This window comes from Homo sapiens, chromosome 3 (assembly GCF_000001405.40).
Source record: "Homo sapiens chromosome 3, GRCh38.p14 Primary Assembly".
NCBI lineage: Eukaryota > Metazoa > Chordata > Mammalia > Primates > Hominidae > Homo > Homo sapiens.
This window is the reverse complement of record NC_000003.12, coordinates 129,268,867-129,278,541: the sequence shown is the minus strand read 5'-3', so window position 1 is coordinate 129,278,541 and position 9,675 is coordinate 129,268,867. Positions and strand designations below refer to the sequence as shown.

The following is a 9,675-nucleotide window of genomic DNA, read 5'->3' as shown; positions in this document are numbered from 1 at the left end:
CGCTGAGTCTAGGGCACAGGGTCATGGAAGGCGGGAAACCAGGAAACTCCACTCCTTACTTCACAGTCCTGCCAGCTGCCTCACAGTGCGAGGCAAAAATGGAGGAACACTGAAGAAATGAAAGTCAGAAGAACTTCCAGGAATCGCGCACTTCGCCCTCAAACATTGGTGGGCACTAGAATAAGCCTTTCCTGCCCCAGCCCCTCAGCTGAATCTCTAAGGGTGAGGCCCAGATTTTTAAAACAGCCCTTTCGGGTGTACTTTGGCCTCAAAGTTGGTAAAATAGCCTGGCTTGAGTTTAAAAGCCTGCTCCCCTTGGGACCTAAACCGGAGATTCTTCATCTGCAACCAACAGAGAATGCTCTAGAGGGCTGTTCGCCTATGCTGATTCGCTGAACTGAACAGGGAGCAGAAACCCCAGGGCACACTCCATGTAAGACCAGATGCTGGAACGATCAGACACAGGACCCAAGCCCTTTGGAGCCTCCATTTATCGACTATCAAAGGAGGATGCGTTGTGAAGAAGCACGAACGGGAGGGAGTGTGAACTCTGCCTGTTAGCTGATTCACTCAACCACCCTCTACCGCTCCCACCCCTGGGCTTGGTGCTGGGACAGCGATGACGGGGAGAGGGTCCTGCCTCACAGGACTACAACAGCCAAAGGGCTGTGGGTGCAAGGGGGACAGGGCAGGTGTTCTGCCTCTTTAGGGGAGGCCTTGAAGGGGAAGGTGGAGCCCTGAAGCATGAGTCTGCAGAAGTAGCAATCATTCAATAAATACATGCTGATTTATTACAGGGATAAGATGGTTTCTTGGGGGATAGATTCAAGAGGAGTTGAGAATGTTTTATTCATTTACAATGTCCCTTTCCTGGAAGGGTGGACAGCAAGATTTAGGACAAGCTAAAATCATCCCCTATTTAAAAAAAAAAAAAAAAAAAGTCACCAGCAAGTAGTCCCGGGTGGGAGGTGGGAGCAGAATAAAAAAAAATCTGCAATGATTCCTAATTGTTTTTCAATACAGAAGCTTGGGAAGGGGTTTCTGCCAGTTTCATGAGGAAGGCACAACTTCCAGGTAGTGTTGGGGAAGGGTATGAGGTCCTATGCAGGCTGGCCTCTTATCCCACAGATGCCAAGATGATGTCTACTGGCAGCTCCTCCAAACTTCTGGCTGTCACCTGCATTGTCACTGTGTCCAAAAGCAGCAGCCGGGAGCGCACCAGGATGTCATGACCACCCCGGAACACACCTAGAAGGGAAGAGAGAAGTACAGATATATACAGCAGAAGGGACTGTACAGGGCAGGCTAAGGATGGCATTTGCAGCAACCCATGAAGGCAGCTCTGGTGTAGTGAAACGGGCAGGAGAGCTGGGCTGAAATCCCTGAGTGAGGGATTTCACTGTGAAAGTCACTGTCTCTCAGCCAGGCGCGGTGGCTCACGCTTGTAATTCCAGCACTTTGGGAGGCTGAGGTGGGCAGATCATGAGGTCAGGAATTCGAGACCAGCCTGGCCAACACAGTGAAACCCCATCTCTACTAAAAATACGAAAATTAGCTGGGCATGGTGGTGGACGCCTGTAATCCCAGCTACTCGGGAGGCTGAAGCAGGAGAATCGCTTGAACCCGGGAGGCGGAGGTTGCAGCGAGCAGAGATTGTGCCACTGCATGCCAGCCTGGGTGACAGAGCTAGACTCCGTCTCAAAAAAAAAAAAAAAAAAGAAAGTCACTGTCTCTCAGGACTTCAGTATCCTCAACTACAAAGTGGCAGGGATGATAATACCATATTTCAGGCTTCTGCTAAGTTCAAATGAACTGATGGACATAAAAGGCTTATATCTCATGTCACAGAGGCTCTTGCACGTTGACTGAATCTGAGAGCACAAATGAAGGGGACAGCCCCACCACGAGAAAACCACAGGGCAGGTGTCTGCAAGACCCAGGGGACTAGGTTGTTTCAATGTGGCTACAAACTGTCAGCTGTAGGCAGGGTACTGAAGCAGAGCCTCCTTTCAACCCTGTTTATAAACACTCAGCCAAAAAAAATCATCCCATTTCCTTTTGTTAACTGTTTTAGGTATGATAATTGTATTGTCCTTTAAAAAAGGGAAGGGGTCATTCTCTCTTAGAGAAACATACAGATACAGGATTTACATATAAAATGCTATTTCTGGAGTTTGCTAGTAAATAATCTGGGAAGGAGAATGAGTGTGGGTACACTCAGCCAACCCTGTAGAAAATAAGACAAAGGATATGAAGACAATGATCAGAAAAGGAAATACAAATGCCTCAACATTTAAGAAGATACTTAACTTCATTGAAAATACAAAAACTACACTAAGATATCATTGTCCACACAGACTGGAAAAGATCATAAAGTGTGGTAACATATTATGTTGTCCACAGTGTAGGAAGAAAGGTATACAATTCTATGGAAGGCAACTTGGAGTTATTTATCAAGATGAGAAACACAAATCACTTTGAACTGGTGATGCCTTGGAAAATTTATCCTACAGATATTCTCAGTGTACACATGCAAAGTAAACTGTGTGTGTGTGTGTGTGTGTGTGTGTACACGATTATTTACTGTAACATCTGTAATAGCAAGAGATTGAAATCAAACTAAATGTTCATCAGTAGTGGCTGTTCCATAGAATATGTGGTGCATCCACACAATGGAATACTAAGCAACTATAAAAAAAATGAGGATTCAGTTTGGGATGAAAAAAGTTCTGGAGATGGATGGTGGTCATAGTTTTACAATAGTGTGAATGTACTTAATGCCGCTGAACCATACACTTGAAAATGGTCGAAATGGTGAATTTTATGTATATTTTACCACAATTAAAAGAAAAAGAATGAGGAAGCTCTACATATTGACGGGGAAGATCTCTAAGATGCAATGTAAAGTGAAAAGCAAATCGGAGGACAATATATATACCATTTGTACATAAACATTTGAGTTAAAAAAAGGAAATGCGTTCCTATTAGCTTTTATAGCCATAAAATAACCGCAAGGTTATACAAGTATTGTTTGTAATAGTAACACTGGTCGCTTCTCGGAAGGGAATCTGAATGGCTGGCAGCCAAGGTAGGGAGGAAACATTTCGCTGCAGATTATTTTATACTTTGTGAATTTTAAATGCTGTGAATTTTGACTCCCCATATTTACAGTGGAGTCCTTAGCCCAGGATCCAGTGGCATCCAGGCTGTAAGCTATCCAGGCCCTCCCCATCTAGAAATGCCACTTACCAGCCAGGAGCAACGTGTGGGTGTTCTTGTTATCCGGCACTTTGTCTGACCTCTCACAAGGGTGCATTCCCAAGAACTTCACAATATTACCCACAGCCTCTGTAATGAGAAATCCCAATATTGTTAAGCCATCTTATCTGCCCTTTGTGCCACCACCACTCCCCCATGTTCTGAAGGGCTTTTAATGAAGTGGCATTTGACATATGTGCTCCAGACATGGCCCTGGATCCTTGGAGAGAAAAGGGATGAGCACTTCAATAGTAGCCAAAGATCTTGAACAGTAATTAGGCCAGAGATGGCATTCCCAGGATTTTACCTTCAAGTGTCTTGATGGTAGACAAGGTGAACGTTTCCTCCTTCTCAAATTCATCCCCTACCTCATCCCAGGCTGCTTCGAAGTTCAGTTTCATGACCTTTTGAATGTGATCAGCTACAGTAACTTCCAGATCTTCCAGCTGGAGAGATGGAGGTAGAAATCAGGCACCCATCTACACACCTACGGGCCTCTGCTCTGAACTCATCCACACATCCCTTCCTGCAACTCTTTCCACAGGTGCTTGCTCGGCACTGAGGACTGTGCTAGACTCTGGGGACATAGAGCAACTTGACCAGGTACCTATCCTTGAGGTGCCCAAAGGCAAATGGTATCCCTTCAACAGAAAACGCCCTAATCCCAAGTACCAATCTACTAATTCAGCCTAGAGCCGCCTGCTGTGAGATCACATCTCTTCTAAGCCTGCCTAGTGTCAGTGCTTCCAGGACCTGGCATGCAGGGAATTACATAGCATTCTCAGAGGTCTGCTTCCTATGCCTGTCCCTCCTAGGGGATGATGAGCTCTTCAGGACCAGCAGCTGTTTCTAGTTCAGCAGAAACTAGCAGAAACCTCCTACCCCAGCTGTGTCCTCTGGATTTGACAGATCCTGAATCTCTATCTCCATTTCAGCTGTGTCTTCCCTGAACTTGACACATAATACTCCCACTGAGTCTACATGAAGGTTCCCCATTCATTCTCCCATCAGATTTTCACTGAGGCCCTACTCCTGTGGATGTTTACAGTGTATATAAATACAACTTAGACCCAGCTCTCTCTCTCTTTTTTTTTTTTCTTCATCTCTGGATGGGCTCAAACAGACCCAGCTCTCTCAAGGAGCTCACTTGGTCTTAGAGCAGCTCCTGCCTCGGGGTCATTTCCAGCTCAAGGAAGGTCCATCCATCCTCAACTGTGACTCTAGGATGACACAATGGCGAATGTCAGTTGTATTCCACTGTGACTGTCCCTCTAGTCAGGAGGAGTTCTAACAGTCCCCATCCACAGGCTGAGCATAATGGTCTGCACTCAGATGGCCCTGAGCCACTGCCCCAAAGTCAGACCTCAGAAGGATCCTGTACTTAGTTCCACCGAGCTAAGATAGGAGAATTTAGAAGGGCTATTCCAGTGCATGAAAGGACTGCCCAGCACAGCAAACAGGTCAAATTTATCCAGAAAGCATTTGACAAGAGGAATCAAAATGTCTTAAAATCATGCTTACCCTTTGACCCAACTATTCTCCTTCTAGGAATCTATCCTAAAGAAATAATCTAAAATGCAGATAAAAATTTGTATCTAAAGGGATATTTAATGCAGCAATATAAATAGTGAAAATATGGAAACCCAAATGCCCAACATTAAAGGAGTGAAAAGTCAATCAAGTTTTGACATAGTATATAACAGTATTTTAAATCCACTAAAAAAATTGTGTTTATGAAGTATTTGTAATGATACTGGAAAATACACTATGGTTTTAAAATAGCAAGGTCTACACTGTAAGAATGATTTCAATTATACCACTTCCCCCCAAAAATAACTCTAAGGATTATGAGTAATGTTTTCCTGTTGTTCATACTTTGTTTTGAATTTTGTTTTTGTATTTCCCAAGTTTTCTTTTTACACATGAACATGTATTTCCATAAGTTTAAAAAGTTATTTTAGGCCGGGCGCGGTGGCTCACGCCTGTAATCCCAACACTTTGGGAGGCCAAGGTAGGTGGATCACCTGAGGTGAGGAGATCGCGACCAGCCTAGCCAACATGGTGAAACCCTATCTCTACCAAAAATACAAAAAATTTGGCAGGCATGGTGGTGGGCGCCTGTAATCCCAGCTACTTGGGAGGCTGAGGCAAGAGAATCGCTTGGACCAGGGAGACAGAGGTTGCAGTGAGCCGAGATCGCGCCACTGCACTCCAGCCTGGGTAACAAAAGAGAAACTTCATCTCAAAAAATAAAAATAAAAAAATAAAATTTTAAAGAGCTAAAAAGCCAAAAACAGCTCCAGTCTCACTGTCAGTTCCTGAAGGGAGTTGCTTTGCAGCCTCAGCACAAAACTGAGCTTCCTGACACCAGGATCTTACCACATACTCATCCTCATAGCCTTCGTCATCAGTCTCCCCAGTGGTGGGATCACAGTCCTTGACAGTGAACTTCATCATGCAGCTGAATGTGCAGGCCACTGTGGGGAAGAGAGGCTGGGTAGTTAGGATGTCCCCAGCCTGCAGGGGATGGGCTCCTCCTGCAGGGGACAAGCAGGCAGGGGTCACAGCCTGCTTTCTAGGCCCCTGCTATGTTATTAGTAGCAGCAACAAGCCATCCAATCCCACAAAGCTGGACAGAGGGTGCCACCTTGTAGGACAGGAAAGTCATGAGTTCTAGTGAGATCCTGTCTCTTTAAAAAAAAAAATTTTTAAAGAAGAGCACTTGGGACTCAGCTATTCTTCTTCTTGGGACTGAAATCAAGGAGCTGAAGCTCTAATAGAAGGCAAACAGCTGGTGCCCAGCCGCCCACCTCCTCCTGACCCCATGAGCTCCCAGGAGGATAGGGTGGTATCTGGAGAGGGGCTCACCAGCTGTGGGGTCTTCTTTGGGCAGTGCCACCAGTGTGTAGCAGGTCCCGGGCTGGTTGTAGGGCAGGCTCCGGGCAGGCACGTAACAGAGCACCTCATAGGCCTCAGTGGGCTCCATCTGCACTGTGACATTCTCCAAGGTCTGGTCATTGAGTGTGTTTGTGCAGTCAAACTGAACAGGAAAGAGAGGGGAGCTTAAACATTGCACTAGGTCCGAGCCATGCTGCAGAGGAAAAGCCAGGAGGTCCCACCTCTTTCCTATTGACCAAGGTGATTCCCATCCCAGTCCCCCTGCCCCAGGTTCCCTGTCTTCATGCTGACAATCGGGAGCCATGGATGTCCCGAGTCAAGAGATATGAGAGACCGACCTGTTGGGGACAGATTCTGTCATCAAGTTGGGCTCCCAACCAATGCAGTGTGGGGACCCATGACCCTACAGGACCTGCCAGACCTGGGACAACTCCCTGGGCGCATGCCCCAGCAGGGCCTCAGCCCACCTTGCTCACCTGAAAAACCATGTGGTTGGTGAAGGTGTGTTTGGTGCAGCGGATGACATACTCCGTCTCTGACTCGGTGAGGGCCACGGGCTCAGGCGAGGACTTGAAGAGGGGCCCAAGACCGCGGAACTCTGGCACTGCTGCCAACTGCTCTGAAATCCACAGGCCACATTCACTCAGCTTCTCGATCCCCAGACCAACTTGTTGATGGTTTCTAATAAATTCCCATGACCATTCTCAAGGTGTTCCACCCTACCTTAGATGGATAGATATGTTTACCCAACTGGCTACTCATTATTTCCTGAATATATCCATGCATTTTCTCATCTCCCTGACTTCGCTCATGTGGCACAACCCCCCACAAATACTCTCCCCATCTCTGTACCATGAAAGACCTCAGAAGCAAAAAACTGATATGAGACCACAAAATCCTAGACCTAATTGGAGAATCCCCCAGCTATAGAAGCTTAGCAAGGATTTCCGCCCCCTACCGCAGCAAGGATTCTTAAAAGAAGGTGACAATTAGGAAAATAAGATCGATACTGCTATAGCTACAAAATCAGACAAAATAACAAACTGGTCCTATATATTTATCAGTTAAGACAAATGGCCAATAAAGAGATATTTCAGAATGAGAGTGTTGCAGAAAACCTAACTTAGAATTGTTTGTGTCTGGTAAGACCTATCCCTACACCCTATGCCCAGGTTCAAGCACTGGATTCAAGCACAGGCCCATGGGACCCCACCCTGGCTGGTCCTGGCATTCCTTGCAAACTAAAGGGAATAACCCAAGTGAATGAGGCATCTGGCAGATGTGTGCACATGGTGTCCACCTATAATGGCTACAGCTGCCACTCTTGTACCTATTCTATGGCAGGATTCCTCGCACTATGACCATGGATCAACTGTATCAGAATTACTAGGGGTTGGCGGCAGAGCTTGCTAAAAACTCAGACTCCATCCCAAATCTACTACATCAGAATCTCTGGTTTCAGGATCAAGGAATTTGCATTTCTAACATGTTTCCTCAGATTATTCCAATATATACTGATATTTAAAGACCACTGCTCTAAGATTTTCAACTTGTCTTCCCAATTAATTGAACTCCATGAGAACAGGGATTGTGCTTTGAGGCCATGGATCTGATATTTTTCCCTTTACTTAGAAGGTACTCAATTCACGTTTCAGACATAGAGAAAGGTAGGCCTTATTTTTATTATTTTGCTTTTTTCCTCCACAAAAAGTCAGCCTATGTGACCACTTCAGCCCTCTGCAGCCTGAAGACTGAATCTAATGAATATGCAGGCAATAAAAAGCCCAGAACAATCCAGGCTAGATATTAGGAGGAACTTTTGGGCCACCATGACCATCAACCACTAGAGTGCTTTTCTATTGATATTTATTTTCTTGGGACTCAGAGTTTTGGGCCTGATACTTACTCCCTGGGGGATTCTGTTGGTAGGGTTTCAGACTCTTCATCAATAAAACTGATATCATTATCTTGATCACAGCGTTGTTGTAAAGACAAATGAGGCAATAAATTCAAGATCTAGGAAAGTTCTTGGAACTGAACATGTATGTGATTAGTAAATGTGAGGCTTTTGGATGATTGTTTAAAAATGGAATTGTTACCCTTTAAGCGGCTTAGGAGACTTCCTTGGAAGGTGTGGCAGAATAATGACTCCAAGATGCCCACATGCTAATTCCCAGAACCTGCAGCTATGTTACCTTGCATGGTAAAAGGGACTTTGTAGATGTGATTAAATTAAGGATCTTGAGCTAGGGGTTATCCTGGATTATCCAGGGGGGGCCAGTGTAATCATAAGGGCCCTTCTAGGGCAGAAGGTCAGAGTAGAGAGATTTGAAAAGGCCAGGAGTGTGGCCTCTTCAAATCACTCTACTCTGACCTTCTGCCCTAGAAGGGCCCTTAAAGACGGTGGAAGGGGCCACGAGCCAAGGATACGGGCCACCTCTAGTAGCTGGAAAAGGCAAGGGGGCAATACCTGGAGCCTCCTGAAAGAACTCAGCACTGCTAACAAATGAAACCCACTTTGGACTTCTGACCGCAGAGCTATAAGGTTATAAATGTGTTAAGCCACTAAGTTTGTGGTAACGTGTTACAGCAGCAATAGAAAACTGATATAAATGGAAAGTTTCATGTTATAGCGATCCCAATTAGCTCAGGATCCATGCTATATTGATATAAGACATGATTCTGAGTGTAATGGGGAAGGGGGGATTTCATTTAATTCAACATTAATTGGGAGCCTACTGTGAGGAAGGAAGGCACTGGGCTCAGTGCTGTGATAGACGCAGAAAATAAAAGACAGAACATGTGAAGAACTATTTAGCACAGAGGGCTGTTTAAGAGAAGACAGAAGAGCTAGGATGGAAGTGAGGGCCCATGAAGGAAGAGGGGTCTATGCTTTTATCTACTGAATTCAGTGGATAAAACAATCTGCAATTAGACACACAGCCTCTCCCCTTAAAAATGCAACACCAGAGGACAGATGGATACCTGAAGAAAACCTTACAAGACAATGTGGACAGAACACACGTGGAACCCGACAAAAAGTACCAGTGTCTTTGAATCCCAGCACTGCTCTCTCAGACATTCTGAACTGGCCTGGGCTCCAGGGACCCGAGCCCTCCAAATTGAGGCCCAGTAACAGCACTGAGCCAGTTTGATCGGGACCTTAATTCCAGCCCCTCCTACTACTTTCTCTCTCTGAACTTCCAATTCCTCAGATATTGAAGGAACCCAACAACCACCACCTGAGGGTCAAATGTGATAGTAGGTCTAAAGCATCTCAAGGGCCTAGCACTCAGGAGAGACCAATATATGACAGTTCTTACTCTTGAACCCCCTGAGGAAACTAAGCCCAGGTCCCAAGCATCCCCCAACCACTGTGACTCACCCTGGAAGATCTCCTGCCTGGTAGCTGCCACTTTCTCAGGCTGTTTGACTGCTGTGATGGGGGTACTTTCTGCAGGAGCAAATTATACACGTGATGACCAACAGCTGGAGTCACGGGGCAGTGTGGTGGTGACC

At 45.7% G+C, this 9,675-nt stretch overlaps 1 protein-coding gene and 1 non-coding gene across 2 annotated transcripts in view; both read right to left on the bottom strand.

The window, feature by feature from the left end:
• Window positions 1–768: 768 nt before the first annotated feature.
• Window positions 769–9,675, bottom strand: part of COPG1 (coat protein complex I subunit gamma 1) — a 28,168-nt gene continuing 19,261 nt past the window's right edge. Inside the window, exons 18-24 of the mRNA NM_016128.4 lie at window positions 9,542–9,610; window positions 6,633–6,775; window positions 6,127–6,298; window positions 5,638–5,735; window positions 3,566–3,704; window positions 3,250–3,348; window positions 769–1,248 (exon numbers count right to left, since the gene is read on the bottom strand). Coding sequence (NP_057212.1) covers window positions 1,118–1,248; window positions 3,250–3,348; window positions 3,566–3,704; window positions 5,638–5,735; window positions 6,127–6,298; window positions 6,633–6,775; window positions 9,542–9,610 — 851 coding nt within the window. The 3' untranslated portion in view covers window positions 769–1,117. The remainder of the gene's footprint in view (window positions 1,249–3,249; window positions 3,349–3,565; window positions 3,705–5,637; window positions 5,736–6,126; window positions 6,299–6,632; window positions 6,776–9,541; window positions 9,611–9,675) is intronic.
• MIR6826 (microRNA 6826) lies at window positions 6,299–6,396 on the bottom strand. The gene has a single exon (NR_106884.1). It is a non-coding gene; the product is annotated as a microRNA 6826 (primary transcript).